Below are 21,888 nucleotides of genomic sequence, written 5' to 3' on the forward strand. Positions count from 1 at the left end.
TTTTTTTGTTTTTTTGTTTTTTGTTTTTTTGAGATGGAGTCTTACTCTGTCACGCAGGCTGGAGTGCAGTGACGCGATCTCAGCTCACTGCAACCTCCACCTCCTGGATTCAAGCAATTCTCCTGCCTCGGCTTCCCAAGTAGCTGGGACAGGCGCCCACCACCACACTGGGCTAATTTTTGTATTTTTAGTAGAAACGGGGTTTCACCATGTTGACCAGACTGGTCTTGAACTCCTGACCTCAGGTGACCCACCCACCTCAGCCTCCCAAAGTGCTGGGATTACAGGCGTGAGCCTCCACACCTGGCCAGTGGCACCTTGTTATGGCCGCCTGAGCCTACTAAGGCAAGGCTGGGAAAAAGTACCCCATCTCGTGTGTACCCCATCTCGTGCATACCCCACAGAGTTCCAGGCTGCCTGGTGCTCCAGGTACTCCCCTCTAAGGGAAGGGTGGAGGGGGTGCAGAGATGGAGAACATACCCTTTCTGGAGTGACACATGAACCCAAGACCCAGTAATTCCCAAAGGAAAGTGGGGGTGAAGCAGGGTGGGCTCCAGACAGCACAGAGAGGTCAGGGACAGAAGTCAGAAGAGATAAGGTGGGGGTGTCCCAAGAGCCAGGTTACCCAGTGCATGGAGTTTGGACTTGGGGCTGGGGGTGGGGGGTGCAGAGGGAGGTCCCGTAAGGCAGTATCAGAATAGTATCAGAATCGTTTTAGGAGGCTCGGCCTGCTGCTTTGTGGAGGATGGCTTGGGGCATGGGAGGGGCCAGGGAGGGAACCCAGTGCAGGTGTGAGCTGCCGGTGCTGCAGACCCATCACAAACCTCCCCCTCAAAGAAAGCACATCCGCCCGGCAGAGCTCCTAAGCCTCGAGCAGCTGCCAGGAGACTCATTTCAATTAGGACACATGTCTGGAGGCCACCCCAAGGTGGCTGGGGGCAGAGTGAGGCAGGAGGCCCTGCAATTCCAGGGTTGCCCAGGCACTGAGAATCCTGGCTCTCATCATAATGGGCTGAGGTTCTGGGGACAATCTGAGTGGCGGCTCTGAGCAAGCTGAGCCCAGGGAGGCTTTGAGGTACACAGGGTCCCTTGGGGGGCCTGAGAGCAGCCATGAGGAGGCACAGTGAGACAGATGTGGAAGAGCAGACCCAGGAGCTGAAGACCATCACTCAGCTCCAGGGTGAGCCTGCACCGCCGTGACCAGTCTCCCTTTCCCGTCTGGGGGTTTCTGGGTGCACAACTTTTTGTGGGGAAAAGAGAGATCAGATTGTTACTGTCTATGTAGAAAAGGAAGACATAAGAAACTCCATTTTGATCTGTACTAAGAAAAATTGTTTCTGCTTTGAGATGCTATTAACCTGTAACTTTAGCCCCAACTCTGTGCTCACAGAAACATGTGCTGTATTGAATCAAAGATTAATGCATTTAGGGCCGTGCAGGATGTGCTTTGTTAACAATGTGTTTGCAGGCAGTATGCTTGGTAAAAGTCATCCCCATCCTCCATTCTTGATTAACCAGGGACACAGTGCACTGCAGAAAGCCGCAGGGACCTCTGCCCAGGAAAGCCTGGGAATTGTCCAAGGTTTCCCCCCACTGAGACAGCCTGAGATATGGCCTCGTGGGAAAGGAAAGATCTTACCATCCCCCAGCCCGACACCAGTAAAGGGTCTGTGCTGAGGAGTAGTGAAAGAGGGAGGCCTCTTTGCAGTTGAGATAAGAGGAAGGCATCTGTCTCCTGCTCGTCCCTGGGAATGGAATGTCTCAGTGTAAAGCCGACCATTCCCATTCGTTCTATTCTAAGATAGGAGAAAACCGCTCTGTGGCTAGAGGCAAGATATGCTGGCAGCAATACTGCTCTGTTACTCTTTGCTACACTGAGATGTTTGTGTAACGTGAAACAAATCTGGCCTACGTGCACATCTGGGCATAGTACCTTTCCTTGAACTTATTCATGATAAAGATTCCTTTGCTCACATGTTTCCCTGCTGACGTTCTCACCACCTGTTGCCCTGCTACACTCCCCTCACCAAGATAGTAAAAATAATGATCAGTAAATACTGAGGGAACTCAGAGACCAGGGCTGGTGCAGGTCCTCGCATGCTGAGTGTGCCAGTCCCCTGGGCCCACTGTTCTTTCTCTATACTTTGTGTCTTTTTTTTTTTTTTTTATGAGATGGAGTCTTGCTCTGTTGCCCAGACGGCAGTGCAGTGGCGCGATCTCGGCTCACTGCAAGCTCCACCTCCTGGGTTCACGTCATTCTCCTGCCTCAGCCTCCCAAGTAGCTGGGACTACAGGCACCCACCACCATGCCCGGCTAATTTTTTGTATTTTTAGTAGAGATGCGGTTTCACCGTGTTAGCCAGGATGGTCTCGATCACCTGACCTCGTGATCTGCCCGCATCAGCCTCCCAAAGTGCTGGGATTACAGGCGTGAGCCACCATGCCCAGCCTCTGTGTCTTATTTCTTTTCTCAGTCTTCATCCCACCTGACGAGAAATACCCGCAGGTGTGGAGGGGCAGGCCCCCTTCACTTTTAGGGGATGTTTGTTTGGAGACAGAGTCTCGCTCTGTCACGCAGGCTCGAGTGCAGTGGCATGATCTCGGCTCACTGCAACCTCCACCTCCCGGGTTCGAGCGATTCTCCTGGCTCAGCCTCTTGATTAGTTGGGACATCAGGTGTACGCCACCACACTCAGCTAATTTTCGTATTTGTATTTTTATTTATTTATTTATTTTGAGACGCAGTCTCGCTCTGTCACCCAGGCTGGAGTGCAATGGTGCAATCTCAGCACACTGCAACCTCCACCTCCCGGGTTCAAGTGATTCTCCTGCCTCAGCCTCCCGAGTAGCTGGGATTACAGGTGCCCACCACCACGCCCAGCTAATTTTTGTATTTTTAGTAGAGACGGGGTTTACCCATCTTGGCCAGGCTGGTCTCAAACTCCTGACCTCAGGTGATCCATCCGCCTCGGCCTCCCAAAGTGCTGGGATTACAGGCATGAGCCACCGGCGCCTAGCTTATTTATTTTTTTGAGACAGAGTCTCATTCTGTCGTCCAGGTGGAGTGCAGTGGTGCAATCTCAGCTCACTGCAACCTCCACCTCCTGGGTTCAAACAATTCTGCCTCAGCCTCCTGAGTAGCTGGGACTACAGGCACACACCACCACACCCAGCTAGTTTTGTATTTTTAGTAGAGATGGGGTTTCACCATGTTGGCCAGGCTGGTCTCGAACTCCTGACCACAGGTGATCCGCCCACTTCGGCCTCCCAAAGTGCTGGGATTACAGGTGTGAGCCACCGCTCCTGGCCTAGGACTTTTAGTTTTAATACAGGGACAATCCAGGACATGGAGGGGAAAACAGACCCCCCTACTGCCCACTCCCTGACAGAGCTGGGAGAAGGGATCAAAGGGACCTGCATGGAGGGACTAAATCAGAGAGAGGGGCTTCAAGGAGACGTGAGCATAAGAGCAACACGGGCCCCAAAGCCAGAATGGACAGGAAAACACCCACCTGCTTCCATGGGCAGCAAATCTGGACGGGACCACAGGACCCTGCCATCCCTCTCCTTTGCCTCACCCTCCCCACCTGTCCACCTCCCCGCACCTGTCCACTGAGAGCCCTTCAGACAGCTGCTGCTGGGCAGTGGAGCGGTGTCCCCCAGGACAGGGCGGGAGGAGGGATCTTGGCCATGGAGGGGGCATCCCCCTGGACCCTGGGGCCTGGGGCCTCCCTGATGCAAGCCTCCCCCAGGGGATTCCAGGCCAGGCCCTTGGCCCAATCCTAGCCACTGTGTCCCCTCCACCTGCCCACAGAGCAGTGTCGGGCACTCCAGATCCAAGGGGTGAAAGAGAATATGGACCAGAACAAGGCCACGCTGGCCCTCCTGCGCAGCAACATCCGCCGCGGGGCCCAGGACTGGGCTTTGGCCAAGAAGGTACACAAACGCCGCCCCTCCCCTCTGCCTGGCGAGCAGGGCAGGAGCTGAGTACACACACACTCGGAGGGCGGGCACCTCCTCTCCACCCCCACCCCAATCTTTCTGGATCCAGGGGGCATGTGAGGAGGGGCTCTGCTAGGACCTGTGCCCTGGGCTCCAGTCACCCCAGCATCCGGTGGGCAGGTTTCCCACCACCCAACCCGAGGGCTTGGCATCTGTGAGCCCACATCCTGCAGCAGGGGCCCCCTCTGGCTCTCCGGCCAGCTAGGGGACACCCAGGCCCTCCTCTGCATACCCCCCTACCACGTCGCCTCCGAACTTGGATGGCCAGGATGGGGTCCCGCGGCTCTCTGCTCCTCGTGGAAGCAGGGATCTCGCTACTGGGCTAGCGTGGGATACAAGAGGCCCTGGGGAGAATGCCTGGAGGAGCCAGCGGCTGCGGGTGCGCAAAGGGCCCGCTCTAGCTCAGCCGCCGCCGCTCCGCAGTATGACCAGTGGACCATCTCCAAGGCCTGCGGGAAAAACTTGCCTTTGCGACTGGCGCACTGCCGCAGCACCATGGAGGTAACCAGGCAGGAGGGGCCTCGAGACCCAACCCTCCCCACCCCTGCCAGCACCCCCCCACTAGATGTTGCGGAGCCGACGAGGGACGGAGCAGGTGCCCAGCCCCAGGTTCCCTGTGGGGTTGCCACGAGCCTCCACCCGCCCGCCTGCTGGCGGGCTCCATGGCGGCCCCCTACGCAACCACGAGTGGGCGGTGCCCTTCCCGACCCAGGTGGTGCGGGAGAAGCTGCGCAAGTACGTCTTCGACCGCGTGAACATGCACAACCTACTGATCCACCTGGTGCGGCGGCGCGGGCAGAAGCTGGAGAGCATGCAGCTGGAGCTGGACAGCCTGCGGAGCCAGCCCGACGCCAGCAAGGAGGAGCTGCGGCTGCTGCAGGTGGAGAGGCGGGGCTGGGAGGGCGGGGCGGAGTCCACTGGGGCAAGACTCACGGGAGGGGCGGGGCCACCGGGGGGCGGGACTTGCGGGTCCCCTGGGGAGGGCTCACGGGAGGGGCGGGGCTAAGAGAGCACGACCCTCTCCGGAGAAAACCCAGCCCCGACACCCTCCGGGCGGCCGGTCCCCACGCCCTCTCACTGCGCCCTCGGTCCGCCCCAGATCATCCGCCAGCTGGAGAACAACATCGAGAAGACAATGATCAAGATCATCACCAGCCAGAACATCCACCTGCTGTATTTGGACCTGCTGGATTATCTGAAGACAGTGAGCCCAGCGGCCCGGGAAGGGCGGGGGTCAGGGGCTGGGATCTGGGAGGGGCGGGAGCGTCCTGGGGCGGAGCCGCCCCGCACCCGCCAGGGAGAGGGAGCTCTGCCTGACCACCGGCTACGCAGGACGCCGAGGCATGTGGAAAACGTTTTTTTAAACTTCATTTTTGGCTATTCCAAAAAAGCATATCGTGGGGTATATCAGAATTCTTCGGACTTTCTTGCACGTATTAAATGATTTGGTATTGTTTGTATCTTGCCTGTCATTTTCTCATTGCCTGGGCCTCTGAGAGTCAGACAGGTCCTGCACCCTCAGAAAGTCCTTGCACCTTTGAGGGTCCGCTGGGCCTGTAAGCAGGGCTTGCTGCCGTCCCAGCCAGCCCACCCGCCCTGCTCCCTGCAGACGAGGCCAAAGGCAGCCAGCAGTCCGATTGTGAGGGAAGACCCCCTTCATGGGAGGCTGAGCACCGCCCCTCGGGCTGCCACAAAGCAGAACCTACTCCAGATGGGCTGTAGATAGGGAGAGCACAGGAGGTGCTAAGAGGAGCAACCTGTGGATGGGGCGGGGAGCCAGCTGGAAACACCCTCACCCTAAGACTGGGCAAAGGGGAGCTCTGGAGAGCCATGCTTCGGGAAGGTGACAGCATGGAAGTGCAGTTTAGGAGGAGTGGTGGACGGAGGCTGCATCGCAGCTCTTTTCCTGCTGTGGTCCCAGCCCAGGTGGCTCTCAGCACCGTCCTCTGCTTGTCCCTCTTGCCTTGGCCCCTGGTCCTATTGGCTCACCTGGAAGCCCTGCCCCTCTATGCTTCCTGGGCCCACCCCTCTCCCCACCCCTGTCCATGCCCCTCCTTCGCCTGGGTGCTTTCTGTTCCTCTGGTAGCGCCTTCTTCTGTTTAGAACATACACACTTAAAAAACAATTATTCCCGGCCTGGGCATGGTGGCTCATGCCTGTAATCCCAGCACTTTGGGAGGCCAAGGCAGGCGGATCACTTGAGGTCAGGAGTTCTAGACCAGCCTGGCCAACATGGTGAAACTTCATCTCTACTAAAAATACAAAAAGTAGCCTGGCATGGTGGTGCATGCCTGTAATCCCAGCTACTCGGGAGGCTGAGGCACGAGAATCACCTGAACCCAGAAGGCAGAGGTTGCTGCAAGCCGAGATCGTACCATCGCACTCCAGCCTGGGTGATAGAGTGAGATTCAGTCTCAGAACAAAGGAAAAAACAAGCAATAATTCCCATAGTCATCCATATTTTTAAAAATGAAGATTCTACACTTCTAGTTTTGTTTTTGTTTGTTTTGTTTTTTGAGATGGAGTTTCACACTGTTGCCCCAGCTGGTGTGCAGTGGTGAGATCTCGGCTCACTGCAACCTCCGCCTCCCGGGTTCAAGCGATTCTCCTGCCTCAGCCTCCCGAATAGCTAGAATTACAGGCGCCCACTACCACGCCCGGCTGATTTTTTTTGTATTTTTAGTAGAGACAGGGTTTCACTATGTTGGCCAGGCTGGTCTCTAACTCCTGACCTCATGATCTGCCTGCCTCCGGCCTCCCAGTGTTGGGATTACAGGCGTGAGCCACCGCACCTGGCCTATACTTGTAGTTACAAAAAACAAACCACTATAGCAAAGCTATCCTGAGCACGTATGTACCTGGTTCTGGGCTAAATAATTCCTTTTACACTCAATTCATCCTGATGGCAACCTTCTGAACGAGCCATCATCTTACAAATGGGGACACAGAGAGATTAAGTAACTTTCCCAATGTCACACAGCTAAACTAGCTGGTCAGAAGCTGCCTTGGCCTTGAATCCTGACTCTCTGACCCCAAGCCCATGTCTTGAGCCCCTCTGTTTCACTTCAAAGCAGAACTGTCCCCAAACCTCCCCGGGTTTCAGTCAGCCTTTTCTGCAGAGCATTTCATCACAAACTCTCTCAGTCTCTCTGGGTTGTTGGACCCTAGGTGGTGAAAGAGTCCACCAGGCCAGCACTGTCCACTCCCTGTGAAACACCTTTCATCACCGTTGTGCCCAGCGGGGAGTGGGGGAGGTGGCTGGGGCCACAGAGGAGAACCTATCACTGTTCTCAGGGCTCTTAGTCGGGGGATAAAAGCTCGGGGCAACTGCAGCCCACTCTGTAGGGGCCACAAGAGAACCCCATTCAACACAGGTGCTGGCAGGATACCCCATTGAGCTGGACAAGCTGCAGAACCTCGTGGTCAACTACTGCTCAGAGCTGTCGGATATGAAGATCATGTCCCAAGATGCCATGATGATCACGGATGAGGTCAAGGTGAGCTCAGGGCCCAGGGCTGGGGGCCCCCCAGGGCCAGCCCTCTTGGATCTTCGGATGGGGTCAAGGTGAGCTCAGGGCCCAGGGCTGGGGGCCCCCCAGGGCCAGCCCTCTTGGATCTTCGGATGGGGTCAAGGTGAGCTCAGGGCCCAGGGCCGGGGGCCCCCCAGGGCCAGCCCTCTTGGATCTTCGGATGGGGTCAAGGTGAGCTCAGGGCCCAGGGCTGGGGGCCCCCCAGGGCCAGCCCTCTTGGATCTTCGGATGGGGTCAAGGTGAGCTCAGGGCCCAGGGCCGGGGGCCCCCCAGGGCCAGCCCTCTTGGATCTTCGGATGGGGTCAAGGTGAGCTCAGGGCCCAGGGCTGGGGCCCCCCAGGGCCAGCCCTCTTGGATCTTCGGATGGGGTCAAGGTGAGCTCAGGGCCCAGGGCTGGGGGCCCCCCAGGGCCAGCCCTCTTGGATCTTCGGATGGGGTCAAGGTGAGCTCAGGGCCCAGGGCTGGGGCCCCCCAGGGCGGGCTCTCTTGTGTCTTCTGGCCAGGGTCTCTCAGGAGACCCCCATGCCCACACTGCCTACAATCCCCAGAAGGATCCAGTGGCCAGCCCGGCCAGCCTGCTCTGCTCACCCACTGGACAGAGCAGGTCCCATCCAGCACAGGAGCCATGAAGTAGAGGAGAGGGAGAGAACTGGCCGGGCCAGGGCGGGGGTCACCTATTCACCCAGTCTGTGCCAAGGTCCCTGCAAGGCTCTGGGGATACAGCAGGGACCGGGACAGGCAGACCCTGTCCTCCTGAAGTGGGTGGCACTCATCCAGTAGTCCATGAAGAAATGCCACACAGCCCCTGAGCCAGCTCAGCAGAGACAGGTGGGGTGGCAGATGGCTTTCCAGGAAGACAGTGCTTGAGCTGGGCTGAGGGATTGAACCCGCAAAGGTCAGGTGTGGCCAGGGCTAGGGAGGAGGAGGTACAACTTGGGAAAAGGCCCTGGGCTGGGAGGGGTGTGATACATGGAGCAGCGTGTGGCCAGGGCAGTGGAGGCTGCAGAGGCACAGGCCCCAGGAGTCCACGGAGGCGGCTGGGCTGGGGGCCCAAGGACTGACCTGGAGCCCTGGGAGGAGGTGGAGGAAAGATGTGACCAGGTCTGTGCTTCAGAAAGGGTGTACTCAGGCTGCAGGGACTGGAAGGTGCCAGGGCAGAAGCGCTGATCACCTGGGTATACCCGGGGTGGAGAAGGGGTGGCCAGGAGCAACGGAGCTGAGAACTCCTCAAGAGGCAACCCCACTAAGCGCTGGCAACGAGAGTGGCGAGGGTGAGAGCAGTGTCTGGGGTGCGTGAGCAGGGGTTAGCAGATGACGGTTTTAGCTGCCCAAGGGCACGCTGGAAGAGGCCAGGTTTTGGGGAAGAGGATGAATCTGTCTTCAGGCAGGCTGAATGCACTTCCGTGAGTTCTAGGTGGACCTGGCCAGGAGGCAGCTGGGGGCCAGCGGCTGGAGGGCAGCAGAGCGTCTGGGCTGGCACATGCTCTGAGGCATGGGCAAGGAGGGCCGTGAGCTGAGGGGCCACGGGCACAAGTGGTTTAGGAAAAGGGTGTGGCCATTGGCCGGGGATGCAGTTCCAAAGTCTAGTAAGGTGAGCATGGCCAACCGCCCGCTGGCTTTACTGCCATTAGGGGCCTTGTTGAGACAGCTCCCCAACCCTGTGCCCACCCGCATGTCCCCAGAGGAACATGAGGCAAAGGGAGGCGTCCTTCATCGAGGAGCGCCGGGCAAGGGAGAACCGGCTCAACCAGCAGAAGAAGCTGATCGACAAGATCCACACGAAGGAGACCAGCGAGAAGTACCGCCGGGTAAGCCCCAGGCCAGGGCCTGGCTGGCTGCCCATCCCCATGACAGCTGGGTGGACACAGGCTCAGGGCCACCACTCAGGGCCCACTCCCTGCCAAGGATGTCTCATCCCTTCCCCGCCCCCACCTCCCATCAGGGCCAGATGGACTTGGACTTCCCCTCGAACCTGATGAGCACGGAGACCCTGAAATGTAAGCGCTCAGCTCCCCACCTGCCCCCAGCCAGGGTCCCAAGGAGAGGCTGGCACTGATTCAGGCCAACGGATCAAGTCACCCTGAGGCCAGGTGTGACATGTGGTCGCCAGGGTGAAGGGAAGGACAGGTCCCTGCCTCTCCCTCCAGAGGCTGAGAGCCTGTAGCCAAATGTGGCCTCAGAGATGCTGGCCCCAGCACCCAAGGGCCCTGCACCAAGGGCCCAGTCCCCAGTGACTCTGCAGAGGATGAGCATCCTGACCCCTAAGCTGCCTCTGAGAAGCACCACCGGGCCCACAGTGCTCACAGTGCTGCGCCACTCACTCCGGGTCCACCTCTGCTCTGGGGCTGCCTGGGGCGTCCCTGCAGGGCTGGGCTGAGGAGGGAGCAGGTTGGGGCGGGGGCAGGCATCTCTGAAGGATGCCTGTGTCTTGGGTGGCCGCCCCAGCAGCTGGGCAGGTACAGAGGTGTCTGACAGCCTTACACAGAGCCCCTGAGCCATCCCTGCATGCTGACTGCCCCTCCCCTCTGCTCTGCCAGTGAGGAGAAAAGAGACCTCCACAGCAGAAATGGAATACCAGTCGGGCGTGACTGCTGTGGTGGAGAAGGTCAAGAGTGCTGTACGGTGCTCTCACGTCTGGGTAATGCCCCTGGCGCTCCCAGAGAATGGCAGGAGGGTGGCTGAGCCTCTCACGTCTGGGTAATGCTCCCTGGCACTCCCGGAGCATGGCAGGAGGGTGGCTGAGCTGGGCTGGGGTCTGAGGCACTCTGAAATGGACACACAAAGTGGCAACTCCCTCGGCCGCCCCAAATCCTTTTATCTTAATCCCATCTGTGTATCTGCGTTTATTATTATTAGGCCTTGAGCTCCTAACCACTGCCCTGACACAAGCTTGTCCACTGTCAGACAAGTGACTCAAGTGACACAACGTCCTTCAGTGATGATCTCCTTATCTCTACATGGGGTTATCTACCCTCTCTGCCTGCCATTAGGGTCGTGTGCAATGACATCCACAAAGCGCTTCACCCCTGCTAAGTGTGGTGGTGCACACCTGTGGTCCCAGCTACTCAGGAAGCTGAGGTGGGAGGATCGCTTGAGTCTGGGAGGTTGAGGCTGCAGTGAGCTGTGATCACACTTGTGAATGAGCACAGAGAAAGTGCACTAGCGTCTAGGAGGGGCCCAGAAGAAACCAGTTCTGTGAAGCCCCCTCTGCCCACCATCCTGGCCCACACCTGCTTCTCTCTCCCCCGGACTGGCCAGGACATCACTAGCCGCTTCCTGGCCCAGAGGAACACGGAGGAGAACCTGGAGCTGCAGATGGAGGACTGTGAGGAGTGGCGGGTGCAGCTGAAGGCCCTGGTGAAGCAGCTGGAGCTGGAGGAGGCCGTGCTCAAGTTCCGCCAGAAGCCTAGCTCCATCAGGTGCCCCGGGCTTCCGGGGCTGCGGGCCACCCACCCCAGTCTCACAAAGGCCCCGGGCTGCAGCCAGGCTGGGAGCTGGGAGTATACCCACTGCCAACAAGCCTGTGTGTCCCACAGAGGGGCCAGGGGACTCCACTTGCACACACCTGAGCTTCTGAGTCCCTGATTCTGGCACAGCACCCAACTCAGGACTGGGCTCCTGGGTGGCCCACCATGGCTCTCGGGCCTGTGCCCCTCACTGCTGTGTCCCTATTGCCTTCTGCAGCTTCAAGTCCGTTGAGAAGAAAATGACAGACATGCTAAAAGAGGAAGAAGAGAGGCTCCAGCTGGCGCACAGCAACATGACCAAGGGCCAGGAGCTGCTGCTGACCATCCAGATGGGCATCGACAACCTCTATGTCCGGCTGATGGGCATTAACTTGCCTGCGACCCAGGTACCGGGAGTGAGGCTGAGCTGCCACACACCAGGTCCCTGGGCAGGGCCAGAGGGGAGATGAGACCCTCCTCCCGGCCTACAGAGAGAAGTGGTGCTCTCCAACACCCTCGATTTGAACAGCAAGCTGGCGTACTGCGAGGGGAAGCTCACGTACCTGGCTGACAGAGTGCAGATGGTGTCCAGGACCGAGGAGGTAGCCCCGGGCTGGGAGGAACCTGCACAGCCCACGTCCCCTCAAAGCTGACAGGCTCCCGTTCAGAGTGTCTGCACGGCTGAAGGGGGCTTTGCCCTGCAGGGCGACACAAAGGTGAGGGACACCCTGGAGTCCTCGACTCTGATGGAGAAGTACAACACCAGGATCAGCTTTGAGAACCGGGAGGAGGATATGATCGGTACAGGCCCCGGAACTGGGGCCCGGGCTGCAGGCGGGTGGCTGGAACACAGGTCGGGGTGGCGCCGGCTCCCATCCCACCGGGACATCCTGGAGGGACAGCGGGGCTACAGGGTGCATCAGTTGTACCTGCAGGACTTTAATTGATGGAGGTGACTTAGTGATGCCATGGGGAGGCTAAAGCCACTGAAATACCTTGTTAATTTCTCCGAAAGGAGGAGGCATGCCATGCCAGACGGGCCCGGAGGAGAGGCACCAGGGCTGGAGCAGGGAGGAGCGCGGTGAAGGCCTGGGCCGGAGCTTCCACTGGGGGTTCTGCGGGAAAGGCTAGGCAGGGCAGCGTGAGCCGCTGCGAATGGGCTGGGCTGAGTCCTCCCGGCACGCTGGGGCTGTCCCTGGGGCAAGGCACCTGGCCCGGGTCGGTGGAGGGCGGGGGCGAGAGGCGGGTCGGGCGGCTGCGCCTAGCTGGGCTAGCCCCGTGTGCGAGCCGCCGCCTCCGCCCGCAGACACCTTCCAGTTCCCCGACATGGACCACAGCTACGTCCCTTCGCGCGCCGAGATCAAGAGGCAGGCGCAGCGGCTAATCGAGGGGAAGCTCAAGGCGGCCAAGAAAAAGAAGAAGTAGCCCCGCCGCCCCGCTCCCTGCTTTGCTACACAAATAAACATTTTTCCAGGACTGCTGCGGACGCTGGGGCGACCGGGGTCTCGGAGAGGAGCACGGGACACGCAGGATCGGGGGAGGTTCTGCGTAAGGAGGCAGCCCGGGCCCGGAACTGCGCGCCAGAACCGCGTGCGCATGCGCCGACCGCGCGCGCCGCGCCCCCGCGGCCCTCGCGGCGCCCCGTAGCCGCGCACCCCTCCCGTCCCGCCGAGCCGGCGCCAAGATGGCGGCGCTGACTCCTGGAGAGCGGTCGCGCCGGAGGCCGCGGGGGCCGGAGCGGAGCAGCCGCGGCTGAGGTTCCCGAGTCGCCGCTCGGGGCTGCGCTCCGCCGCCGGGACCCCGGCCTCTGGCCGCGCCGGCTCCGGCCTCCGGGGGGGCCGGGGCCGCCGGGACATGGTGCCAGTCGCACCCCTTCCCCGCCGCCGCTGAGCTCGCCGGCCGCGCCCGGGCTGGGACGTCCGAGCGGGAAGATGTTTTCCGCCCTGAAGAAGCTGGTGGGGTCGGACCAGGCCCCGGGCCGGGACAAGAACATCCCCGCCGGGCTGCAGTCCATGAACCAGGCGTTGCAGAGGCGCTTCGCCAAGGGGGTGCAGTACAACAGTGAGTGCGGCGGGCCGGGGGGGCGCGGGAGCGCCGCGCGGGTCTCCGAACCCAGGCCCCGGGCGCCGCGCGGTGGTGGGTGTCGGTCTCACCTGCTTGCCGGTTGTGGGGTGCGCTGGGCCCGCCGGGCGCTCCGGGAGCGGGGGCGCGGGCCAGGGGACGCGAGGAGAGGCCAGGCCAGGGCCGGGTCCTCGCGGCCCCCGAGCCGCGGGTCGTTTCCCAGCCGCACTCGCCTGCCGCGTGTCGCTCCCGCCGCGCTGTGCAGTGGAGCGGGTCGGCGGCGGCGGGGTTGGCCCGGCTGCCCGGCCCGGGGGTGATTACATAATGCCAAGCAGGGCCCGCCGGCCCGGGGCGCCGCGCCCCCGACGCTCCACGGTGCCCAGCCCCGGGCACCACTCACCTGCAGGAGGTGCGGGGAACCCAGCCGGCCTTGGCGCTTTCAGCGGGATTTTTCTTTGTTGACTTCCTACTGAGTTTGAAGACAGAATATTAGCTACGCCACACATTCTCGCCTTTTTTTTTAAAAGAAGCGTTTGTAAGAGACGTATCTAGAAAAGCTCCAGAAGGCACGGGCTGACTTGCGACTGTAGGAGACATCCCATTTCTCGTAGGAAGGAGGAGTCATTTACGGACTCCTGAGTGCCTGGGACGCTCCATTCCTTTGTTATAAATTGTGTAAATTGTCCTCGACCTCTTATGAGTTTTTCCATCTTGCGGGCTCTTTCCCAGTAGTTTTTGAAAGCTTTTATGTGGTTCCCTGTTTTGACATTGCTTCCCTCTTAGCCATTTCCGTATGTTTCTATGAGGTTTTAGGACGCTACGCCTATCCAGTTTTTTGGTCACTTTAAGGGGAGCCTTAGAGCCTCCGTGATATTTCCATGGTAATGTAGAATTTTAAGAACTAATGATCAGAAAGACTCTTGTGCAGGTTTAAAAGCAAGTTCATGAATTCGCGTGCCGTGTGCACGGAGAGAGGCCGTAGTTCCTGGGGCTGGAGCTAGTCCAGGAGGACAGTGAAGATGTCGCCTTCCTTAGTCCCCCGGCCTGTGAGCAAGAGGAAGCTGCAGACCACTCGGGCCACCCTCACCCAGACACCTTTAGCAGTAAGCAAGATAAAACAACTTCTTAAAGATAAGTCTGAGCATCTAGGTATGAAAGTTGGTGTCCGGGCCGGGCACGGTGGCTCATGCCTGTAATCCCAGCACTTTGGGAGGCCAAGGCGGGCAGATCACGAGGTCAGGAATTCGAGACCAGCCTGGCCAACATAGTGAAACACCGTCTCTACTAAAAATACGAAAAAAAAATTTAAAAGAAAGTTGATGTCCGAACCAAGGGCCGTATTGGCTTTTCTTATACTCTAGAACATACGACGACAAAGAAGATTTTGATGAAGTTCAAATTAGAGTCAGCGTGCTCATCAGAAAGAAAGCGCAGCCAACACGTTTAGGAACAGAAACGGATTATGTTGAAGACAAACAATCCATTGCGTTTGTGTTCAGTAACCCAAGCATCAAAGGAACTTGTGGCTGGGGAGAAGGCTTGACTATTTGAAATCTCAGGACTCCTCTGTCCAGGAGCTCCCAGACTCCCGTGGAGTGGAAGCCTGGGGGCTCGCTGAAGAAGTCACGTGACTGGAACGTGCTTAATGCTTGGCTGTCTGGTAAGGAAAATAAAGTGGTGCATTTTGAATAAAAATAAAAGCTGATTTTAAATGTGTTATAATTGAAACTTTATACATAGCTGGCATTCGGAGAAGAGAATATTGAGTCAAAATAACTGAGTTTACGCCAGTTTTTAGACTCTGCGTTTGGATCCTTTATTTAATTTTATTGCTTACAGTATTGGCTAAGCTCAGTATTAGTCCCTGGGAAATCAGGCCTGGACCTGGAAACTGTTCACCTTCTGAAAAGGCTCCCCGAGGGTCCTGGGCAAGGTCCACCTCATGCACCAGGACCACCCCTGTGTGGTCCTGGGCGAGTGTGACTAAAAAGGGCAATGGGGTCCTTCCAGAGGAGAAAAGCCAGTCTCCAGTACTTGGAGAACAGGTTATGATCTCCTAGAACTGAATGAAAGGTGGTGAGACAGAGAGAAATTTGAATTTGTACCTAAATTACATTTTAGAAAGATGTTATCTTTATAGCTGAATAACATGCAATTTTAAAACTTTTGAGTTTCTGTGTTAGAATAGAAAGTTTCTAGTATTTCTTTTCTTTTCTTTTCTTTTTTGAGACAGAGTTTTGCGTTTTGCTGTGTCTCCCAGGCTGGAGTGCAGTGGCGTGATCTCAGCTCACTGCAAGCTCCTCCTCCCGGGTTCACACCATTCTCCTGCTTCAGCCTCCCGAGTAGCTGGGACTATAGGCACCGGCCACCACGCCCGGCTAATTTTTTGTATTTTTAGTAGAGGCAGGATTTCACCGTGTTAGCCAGGATGGTCTCAATCTCCTGACCTCGTGATCTGCCCGCCTCAGCCTCTCAAAGTGCTGGGATTACAGGCGTAAGCCACCATGCCCGGCTTTCTGGTATTTATTTTCTCAAATATTTTACAGAGCGTAACAGACCAGCAATGTGATCAAGACAGAGTCGAGGGTTTTGGGGGTGAGAGTTTCTGGGAACTGCTGCGGGTTTCCAGGAGTCTGGGCTCTCCTCCTGGGCCCTGCATTTGCTCGGAGTTGCTAGTGGTCCCGGTAGACGTGTGGGACACCCACTGGTTTTAGAATAAAAACTCGAATGAGACATTGGACCATAATGGATGAAAAAGTCAAACTCTGTCAAATATTTGAAGAGATTTATTTTTGAGCTGAATATGAGTGACCATGGCTCGTGACATAGCCCTCAGGTGACCCTGAGGACATGTGCCCAAGGTGGAGGGCACAGCTTGGTTTTATACATTTTAGACATGAGACAGTAATCAAATACATTTAAGATATATGTTGATTTGGTCCACAAAGGCGGGACAACTTGAAGTGGGGGCTTCCAGGTCGGAGGTAGTTTAAAAAAATTGTGTTTTTTTGCCGGGCGCGGTGGCTCACGCCTGTAATCTCAGCACATTGAGAGGCCGAGGCAGGCGGACAACCTGAGGCCAGGAGTTCAAGACCAGCCTGGCCAACATGTCGAAACCCCGTCTCTACTAAAACTATAAAAATTAACCGGGTGTGATGGTGGGTGCCTGTAATCCCAGCTACTCAGGAGGCTGAGGCGGGAGAATCGCTTGAGCCCAAGTGGCAGAAGTTACAGTGAGCTGAGATTGTGCCACTGCACTCCAGCCTGGGTGACAGAGTCAGACCCTGTCTCAAAAAAAAAAAAAAAAACAATTGCACCACCACACCCAGCTAATTTTGGTATTTTTTAGAGAGACAGGGTTTCACCACGTTGCCCAGCTGGGCTCAGACCCCTCTACTCAAGCAGTCCGAACCCCTTGGCCTCCCAAAGTGCTGGGATTACAGGCGTGAGCCACCGCGCCTGGCCAGATTATGTTTCTTATCAGACTTAAAGTCAGTGTTGATGTTAAATGCTGGTGAGCTTTTCCTGAATTCCAGAAGGGAGGAGGCCACAATGAGGCCTGTCTGACTCCCCTCTTCCCATAATGGCCTGAACCAGTCTTTCAGATGAAATTTGGATGGCCCTGGCCTAGAAGAGGAAGTCCATTCAGATGGTTGGCAGGCCTTGGGATTTTAATTTTGGTTTACACAATTTTGAAATTATTTGCATATAAAATTATTAGGAAAATTATTTGAAATTATTTGGAAGAAAGATTGTTGCCTGAGTTGGTCTGTCCCTTTCTACTGTGACTGGACACAAAATATCAGTTGTATTTGGTGCAGAATTTTTCTGTGGAGTTGCTCCTGAGTGAGCATTATTGTGCAGCTCTGATACTGGCCTGGCCCAGGAGCTCGGACAACCAGAGTCCTCTCTGAGTAGACACTGGTGCGAATTTAGAAATGGGACTTAGCAGGCCGGGCACGGTGGCTCACACCTGTAATCCCAGCACTTTGGGAGGCTGAGGTGGGCGGATTACATGAGGTCAGGAGTTCAAGACCAACCTGGCCAACATGATGAAACTCATCTCTACTGAAAATATGAAAATTAGCCAGGTGTGGTGGCGTATGCCTGTAATCCCAGCTACTCGGGAGGCTGAGGCAGGAGAATCGCTTGAACCCGGGAGGCAGAGGTTGCCGTGAGCCAAGATCACACCACTGCGCTCCAGCCTGGGCGACAGAGTGAGACTTCGTCTTAAAAAAAAAAGAAAAGAAAGAAAAGTTTATATGAATATCCAGTCAAAACAAACAAGGAAGGTATTACCCTTGAAATGTTGTCTATACGAATTTCCAAGGAGACCACAGGACTGTAGACTGTCTTGGAATGTCCTCAGAGAGCTCTGTCATTGATCAGGTAACGGAATAAAAACCCCAGCGTCCTTTCTTTCAAATGGGAGAGGGAAAGACAAAGGGACAGAAGCCGTTCAAACTTTGTCTTCTTTCCTTGTGGCTTGTGGTCACCTCTGCCTCCCCAGAAGCTGCCTCGCCCACCAAAGCCTTCCTGGCTTCTGCCACCACCTCATCCTCCAAAGCTTCCTCTACCTCCATCACAACCCCAAAGCCACCTTCGCCCTTAGGTTTGGCCCAGTCCAAGTTACCTTTGTTTCCCTCAATTTCACCATCTTCCGCGGCCTCCTTGGCGCTTTTGGCATCCTCCTCACTGTTGCCATCTACAGAGCCAAAGCCTTTGGGGCACCCGGTTTCCTGGTTGGTGACTACCCTTGCCCAACAAAGCTGTCGAATGACTAAAGCCTCTTCAGTGGTGTCCTCAGACAGGCCTTTGACAGACAGTTTTAGATGGCTGGCTCCTGGCATCAGGTGGTCCTTGCAACTCCAGCCTGATTGCCCTGCCCCCAGTTTCCCTTTTATTACAGGAATTTAAAGCTGCTTTATCATCTTCAAATGAAGCGAACTGTAAGTGCATGCACACCCTTTAGATTTGCCATTTTGGTTCTGGGGCACTTTGATAAAAGTTGCCTTGTCTCAGATTCTTTCTGAAGAGTTTCTTCTGTTGCACTGTAGGAGAGGTTGCTTAAACCAGAGTTTTTGATTCACCCCTCCAAGTGGTCTCTCTAGTCTTGATTTAGACCTTTCTCTCCATGATAGTGCAGGGAAATAGATCGGCCATCCATCTCTGTTCCCTGCGTTTCTTCAGAAGTTTTCTCTGCATTAGCTTCTGTCTTAACCTCAATATAAGCAGTCCCTTTACTCTTCCCATCCTTGCTGACTAATCCAATCTCCACAGCATCTTCAAACACTTTTTTGTTTTTTGAGCCAGAGTCTCGCTCTGTTGCCCAGGCTGGAGTGCAGTGGCCGTGATCTCAGCTCACTGCAAGCTCCACCTCCCAAGTTTGCGCCATTTTCCTGCCTCAGCCTCCCGAGTAGCTGGGACTACAGGCACCCGTCACCACACCCAGCTAATTTTTTGTATTTTTAGTAGAGACAGGGTTTCACCGTGTTAGCCAGGATGGTCTTGATCTCCTGACCTCGTGATCTGCCTGCCTTGGCCTCCCAAAGTGCTGGGATTACAGGTGTGAGCCACTGCGCCACTGCGCCCAGCCAAAACACTTGTAATTCATCCTGAGTGACTTTGTAAGGGAGATTTGTAGCCAAAAGTATTCTCACATCTTGCTCTTTCTTACTGTCTTTTCCTTTTGGTTTCTCTAGTTTAATTTCATTGCCAAAGTCTTTCAAACCAGCGAGTTCCAAGGCTCTTTCCAGGTCTTCAGCAGCTTGAAAATCCACATAGTCAGATTTCCTTGTCATACCCATTCTGACATCCACAACAGCAAGATCATTTTTAGCAAAAATATCATGGATACTAGTTTTTGTTTTTCTTTCTTTTTCGAGACAGGGTCTTGCTCTGTTACCCAGGCTGGAGTGCAATGGTGCTCACTGCAGCTTCCACCTCCCGGGTTCAAGTGATTCTCCTGCCTCAGCCTCCCCAGTAGCTGGGACTACAGGCACGCACCACTACGCCCGGCTAATTTTTGTATTTTTAGTAGAGACAGGGTTTCATTATGTTGGCCAGGCTGGTCTCAAACTCCTGACCTTGTGATCTGTCCACCTCAGCCTCCCAAAGTGCTGGGATTACAGGCGTGAGCCACCAGGCCTGGCCCATGGATACTAGTTTTTAACTCAGGAGCAGACTTGTTAAAGTTCAGGTTTCCAACAAAGATTGAAAGACGTTCCAGCCTGGCCAACATGGTGAAACCCCGTCTCTACTAAAAATACAAAAATTAGCCGGGTGGTAGTGGTACACGCCTGTAATCCCAGCTACTCAGGAGGCTGAAGCAGGAGAATCACTTGAGCCTGGCAGGTGAAGGTTGCAGTGAGCCAAGATTGCGCCACTGCAGTCCAACCTGGGCGAGAGAGTGAGACCCTGTCTTAAAAAAAAAAAAAAGGCACAGTTGGTTCTGTGCTTCTCACTCTCCACTTTGTGTTTCTTGGCTTCAGAAGCTGCTGTTTGGTCATTTCCTTCATTTTCCAGGTGCTTCTTTGACAGACCCTTCCTCCTCTTTGTCGTCTTCATCACTTCATCCTCTTCATCATCGTCACCCTCGTCCTTGTCCTCATCATCCTCTTCATCTTCATTCCCAGCCATCCTCTTGGCTTTCCCAGGAACAGCATTTGTAGAAGCTTTCTTTCCTTTGGCTGGTGTTGTTTCCATAGGTGCTGCTTCAGAGCCATCTTCCTCAGCATCGTCCTCATCGTCCTCGTCCTCATCCCCTGAGGCAGGGGCACCCGCTGCTGCCTTCATCACTGCTGGTTCAGAGTCATCCTCCTCCTCATCGCTGTCTTCCTTCTTGGCGTTCTTGCCGTTCTTTGCCCCCTTGGCTGGGGTGTCCCTTCTTGCCAGGAGCTGCTGCCAGTGCTTTGCCTGCTATGGCTCCCTTCTTGGCAGGTGTGGCGACTGCTTTGCCTGGAGTGACAGTTGCTTTCTTGGTGGGTGTGGCACCTGCAGCCTTTTTTGTTCGGGAAACTGTCACCTTCTTGGCTGGGGTTGCAGCAGCCTTCTTGCCTTTCTCCTGAGGTGTGACAGTCTCTTCTCCACAGCTGTCATCTTCTTCATCTTCTGACATTTCCTCATCTTCACTTCCTCCTTCTGCCTCCTTTGGGGGAGCAGCCATTTTCTTGGGGTCACCTTGGTTTTTACCTGCCTCGACACCAAGTAGTCTGAAGCTGCTGAGGATGGGAAATCTTTGCAGGGTGCAGAGTGGGAGAGGAGCAAGGTGTGGCTGACACCAGCTGCAGCACAGGCTGTCAGGGTGGGGAGGTGGCTGGGCCCTTGTAATGGGCCCAGGAGATGCTGCTGGCACTGTGAGAGGGCCTGGTTAGGAGTTAAACCTTCATGCATCTGAGATAAATCATAAGCTCTTCTTGGTATGAAAATGTAAGAAAATTATTCCATATTTTGCAGGAAAGCTGCAGGAATGTGAAGGAGTTAAATTGAATCAGGGTAAGAAAGGCTCAGGGCCTCAAATAGAGCTCTGTGTTTTCTGCATTGTATCTTCTAAAACAAGCTTAGAACAGAGGTCGTGTTCACATCCCGTTTAGTAAAAGAGCAGGTTTACCATGAGGTTAAGTACAGGTAAGTACAGGGCTTCTTAGCGTTTCTTGGATGAATCCTAAAGGTTTTCCAGGAGAATCACTTAGCTTATTGCAGCCAACATTTAAGATTCTGAAGTTAAGCAGAAAAAAAGAAAACCCAAGATCAAGGGACCAGCAGGAGAAAAAAAAGATTCTGAAATTGATTTTATTTATTTAGGGTCTTGCTCTTTCGCCTGAACTGGAGTGCAGTGGCGCAATCTTGACTCACTGCAGCCTTCACCTCCCTGGCTCAAGCAATCTTCCCACCTCAGCCTCCTGAGTAGCTGGGACTACAGGTGCACGCCACCATGCCTGGCTGAGTTTTGTAATTTTTGTAGAGACAGTGTTTCACCATGTTGCCCAGGCTGGTCTCAAACTCCTGGGCCCAAGCGATCCATCTGCCTTGGCCTCCCAAAGTGCTGGCATTACAGGAGAGAGCCACTGCGACCAGCCTAACTTTTTAACTTAAAAGTAGAGGTTAAGTTGGGCATGGTGCCTCACTCCTGTAATCCCAGCACTTTGGGAGGCCGAGGTTGGTGGATCACTTGAGGTCAGGAGTTTGAGACCAGCCTGGCCAACATGGCAAAACCCTGTCTCTACTAAAAATAACAAAAATTAGCTGGGTGTGATGGGCACATGCCTGTAATCCCAGCTACTCAGGAGGCGGAGGCAGGAGAATTGCTTGAGCCTGGGAGGTGGAGGTTGCAGTGGGTCGAGATCGCGCCACTGCACTCCAGCCTGGGTGACAGAGTGAGACTCTGTCTCAAAAAAAAGGGGGGGGGGGTAATTTTTTAAAATAATTAAATCAGATTATTTTACTTGCCTTATTTCTGATGTTACAGGATTTCTTGTAATTAGCTTTTTTAAAAAAGAGTTTGTGGCCATATAGTAGGTGTGTATATGGGTAATTAGCTTTTAAAAGGAGTAAATTTCATTTCAAGGGAGAGAAAATAAGACTCTTCATTCTCAAAATGTGAAGATAATAGAAAACAAATGTATGTTAAAATTGATAAAGATGTAAAAGGAAGCAATCTTAAGACTAGTCAAGACTGTATGCCCATGATATGTGCAATTATTATGTCAATTATAAATACAAAAAACCATGAGCAGACAGTTTATGTTTGAAAAAGAAACAGAATGAAAACCTCTAGAAATGAAAAACATAGTCATTAACGTTAAATCAGTCAGCAGCAGGAGAAGCAGCACGAGAAGCAGCACTAACTC

At 55.2% G+C, this 21,888-nt stretch overlaps 2 protein-coding genes, 1 long non-coding RNA gene and 2 pseudogenes across 5 annotated transcripts in view, besides 16 other annotated features; 3 read left to right on the forward strand and 2 right to left on the reverse strand.

Annotated features, from left to right (window-relative positions):
• Positions 472 to 973: an enhancer, noted in NCBI's record as "H3K4me1 hESC enhancer chr9:139690211-139690712 (GRCh37/hg19 assembly coordinates)". NCBI's record gives its function as "activates a minimal SCP1, AML or CMV promoter by ChIP-STARR-seq in primed H9 embryonic stem cells {active_cell/tissue: H9 hESC(primed)}" and the evidence as "EXISTENCE:reporter gene assay evidence [ECO:0000049][PMID:30033119]".
• On the forward strand, positions 1,051 to 12,454 carry CCDC183 (coiled-coil domain containing 183). Its single transcript, NM_001039374.5, has 14 exons — positions 1,051 to 1,180; positions 3,815 to 3,936; positions 4,426 to 4,503; positions 4,715 to 4,882; positions 5,102 to 5,206; positions 7,377 to 7,499; positions 9,215 to 9,340; positions 9,475 to 9,529; positions 10,070 to 10,170; positions 10,791 to 10,951; positions 11,217 to 11,385; positions 11,470 to 11,580; positions 11,683 to 11,779; positions 12,285 to 12,454. The coding sequence occupies exons 1-14, from the start codon at positions 1,111 to 1,113 to the stop codon at positions 12,401 to 12,403; spliced, it is 1,605 nt and encodes a 534-aa protein (NP_001034463.4). The 5' UTR covers positions 1,051 to 1,110; the 3' UTR covers positions 12,404 to 12,454.
• Positions 1,690 to 1,984: a silencer, noted in NCBI's record as "tiled region #12102; K562 Repressive DNase matched - State 5:Enh". NCBI's record gives its function as "represses a minimal TATA promoter and a strong SV40 promoter by Sharpr-MPRA in K562 cells {active_cell/tissue: K562}" and the evidence as "EXISTENCE:reporter gene assay evidence [ECO:0000049][PMID:27701403]".
• Positions 4,254 to 4,957: an enhancer, noted in NCBI's record as "H3K4me1 hESC enhancer chr9:139693993-139694696 (GRCh37/hg19 assembly coordinates)". NCBI's record gives its function as "activates a minimal SCP1, AML or CMV promoter by ChIP-STARR-seq in primed H9 embryonic stem cells {active_cell/tissue: H9 hESC(primed)}" and the evidence as "EXISTENCE:reporter gene assay evidence [ECO:0000049][PMID:30033119]".
• Positions 4,254 to 5,038: a biological region, named in NCBI's record as "H3K4me1 hESC enhancer GRCh37_chr9:139693993-139694696".
• Positions 4,694 to 4,870: a silencer, noted in NCBI's record as "fragment chr9:139694433-139694609 (GRCh37/hg19 assembly coordinates)". NCBI's record gives its function as "represses an EF-1alpha promoter that drives an FKBP-Casp9 reporter gene in an ReSE screen in HepG2 liver carcinoma cells {active_cell/tissue: HepG2}" and the evidence as "EXISTENCE:reporter gene assay evidence [ECO:0000049][PMID:32094911]".
• Positions 4,879 to 5,038: a silencer, noted in NCBI's record as "silent region_20541". NCBI's record gives its function as "represses an Ori minimal core promoter by ATAC-STARR-seq in GM12878 lymphoblastoid cells {active_cell/tissue: GM12878}" and the evidence as "EXISTENCE:reporter gene assay evidence [ECO:0000049][PMID:35858748]".
• Positions 5,049 to 5,258: a silencer, noted in NCBI's record as "silent region_20542". NCBI's record gives its function as "represses an Ori minimal core promoter by ATAC-STARR-seq in GM12878 lymphoblastoid cells {active_cell/tissue: GM12878}" and the evidence as "EXISTENCE:reporter gene assay evidence [ECO:0000049][PMID:35858748]".
• Positions 5,642 to 6,169: an enhancer, noted in NCBI's record as "H3K4me1 hESC enhancer chr9:139695381-139695908 (GRCh37/hg19 assembly coordinates)". NCBI's record gives its function as "activates a minimal SCP1, AML or CMV promoter by ChIP-STARR-seq in naive H9 embryonic stem cells {active_cell/tissue: H9 hESC(naive)}" and the evidence as "EXISTENCE:reporter gene assay evidence [ECO:0000049][PMID:30033119]".
• Positions 8,640 to 13,561, reverse strand: CCDC183-AS1 (CCDC183 antisense RNA 1). The gene is made up of 5 exons (NR_024580.1): positions 13,440 to 13,561; positions 11,542 to 11,915; positions 11,098 to 11,250; positions 10,763 to 10,841; positions 8,640 to 10,297 (listed from the first exon to the last, which is right to left on the reverse strand). It is a non-coding gene; the product is annotated as a CCDC183 antisense RNA 1 (long non-coding RNA).
• Positions 11,605 to 12,200: an enhancer, noted in NCBI's record as "H3K27ac-H3K4me1 hESC enhancer chr9:139701344-139701939 (GRCh37/hg19 assembly coordinates)". NCBI's record gives its function as "activates a minimal SCP1, AML or CMV promoter by ChIP-STARR-seq in naive H9 embryonic stem cells {active_cell/tissue: H9 hESC(naive)}" and the evidence as "EXISTENCE:reporter gene assay evidence [ECO:0000049][PMID:30033119]".
• Positions 11,605 to 12,797: a biological region, named in NCBI's record as "H3K27ac-H3K4me1 hESC enhancers GRCh37_chr9:139701344-139701939 and GRCh37_chr9:139701940-139702536".
• Positions 12,073 to 12,302: a silencer, noted in NCBI's record as "silent region_20543". NCBI's record gives its function as "represses an Ori minimal core promoter by ATAC-STARR-seq in GM12878 lymphoblastoid cells {active_cell/tissue: GM12878}" and the evidence as "EXISTENCE:reporter gene assay evidence [ECO:0000049][PMID:35858748]".
• Positions 12,201 to 12,797: an enhancer, noted in NCBI's record as "H3K27ac-H3K4me1 hESC enhancer chr9:139701940-139702536 (GRCh37/hg19 assembly coordinates)". NCBI's record gives its function as "activates a minimal SCP1, AML or CMV promoter by ChIP-STARR-seq in naive H9 embryonic stem cells {active_cell/tissue: H9 hESC(naive)}" and the evidence as "EXISTENCE:reporter gene assay evidence [ECO:0000049][PMID:30033119]".
• Positions 12,503 to 12,672: a silencer, noted in NCBI's record as "silent region_20544". NCBI's record gives its function as "represses an Ori minimal core promoter by ATAC-STARR-seq in GM12878 lymphoblastoid cells {active_cell/tissue: GM12878}" and the evidence as "EXISTENCE:reporter gene assay evidence [ECO:0000049][PMID:35858748]".
• Positions 12,661 to 21,888, forward strand: part of RABL6 (RAB, member RAS oncogene family like 6) — a 33,240-nt gene continuing 24,012 nt past the window's right edge. For all 3 annotated transcript variants that reach the window (NM_001173988.2, NM_024718.5, NM_001173989.4), the window contains exon 1: positions 12,661 to 13,039. In NM_001173988.2, coding sequence (NP_001167459.1) covers positions 12,910 to 13,039 — 130 coding nt within the window. In that variant the 5' untranslated portion in view covers positions 12,661 to 12,909. The remainder of the gene's footprint in view (positions 13,040 to 21,888) is intronic.
• Positions 12,723 to 12,782: a silencer, noted in NCBI's record as "silent region_20545". NCBI's record gives its function as "represses an Ori minimal core promoter by ATAC-STARR-seq in GM12878 lymphoblastoid cells {active_cell/tissue: GM12878}" and the evidence as "EXISTENCE:reporter gene assay evidence [ECO:0000049][PMID:35858748]".
• Positions 12,803 to 12,932: a silencer, noted in NCBI's record as "silent region_20546". NCBI's record gives its function as "represses an Ori minimal core promoter by ATAC-STARR-seq in GM12878 lymphoblastoid cells {active_cell/tissue: GM12878}" and the evidence as "EXISTENCE:reporter gene assay evidence [ECO:0000049][PMID:35858748]".
• Positions 12,943 to 13,472: a silencer, noted in NCBI's record as "silent region_20547". NCBI's record gives its function as "represses an Ori minimal core promoter by ATAC-STARR-seq in GM12878 lymphoblastoid cells {active_cell/tissue: GM12878}" and the evidence as "EXISTENCE:reporter gene assay evidence [ECO:0000049][PMID:35858748]".
• On the forward strand, positions 13,992 to 14,587 carry LOC100422233 (iron-sulfur cluster assembly 1 homolog (S. cerevisiae) pseudogene; annotated as a pseudogene).
• Positions 17,301 to 20,244, reverse strand: NCLP1 (nucleolin pseudogene 1; annotated as a pseudogene).

Source organism: Homo sapiens, chromosome 9 (assembly GCF_000001405.40).
Source record: "Homo sapiens chromosome 9, GRCh38.p14 Primary Assembly".
Taxonomy (NCBI): Eukaryota; Metazoa; Chordata; class Mammalia; order Primates; family Hominidae; genus Homo; species Homo sapiens.

What these genes read in the sequence shown, in the direction of transcription:
- CCDC183 (NM_001039374.5), top strand. Translation starts at nt 1,111, where the DNA reads ATGAGGAGGCACAGTGAGACAGATGTGGAAGAGCAGACCCAGGAGCTG. An exon ending in ACTGGGCTTTGGCCAAGAAG is followed by an intron (nt 3,937 to 4,425) that starts GTACACAAACGC and finishes GCCGCTCCGCAG; the next exon opens with TATGACCAGTGGACCATCTC. An exon ending in TACGGTGCTCTCACGTCTGG is followed by an intron (nt 10,171 to 10,790) that starts GTAATGCCCCTG and finishes CGGACTGGCCAG; the next exon opens with GACATCACTAGCCGCTTCCT.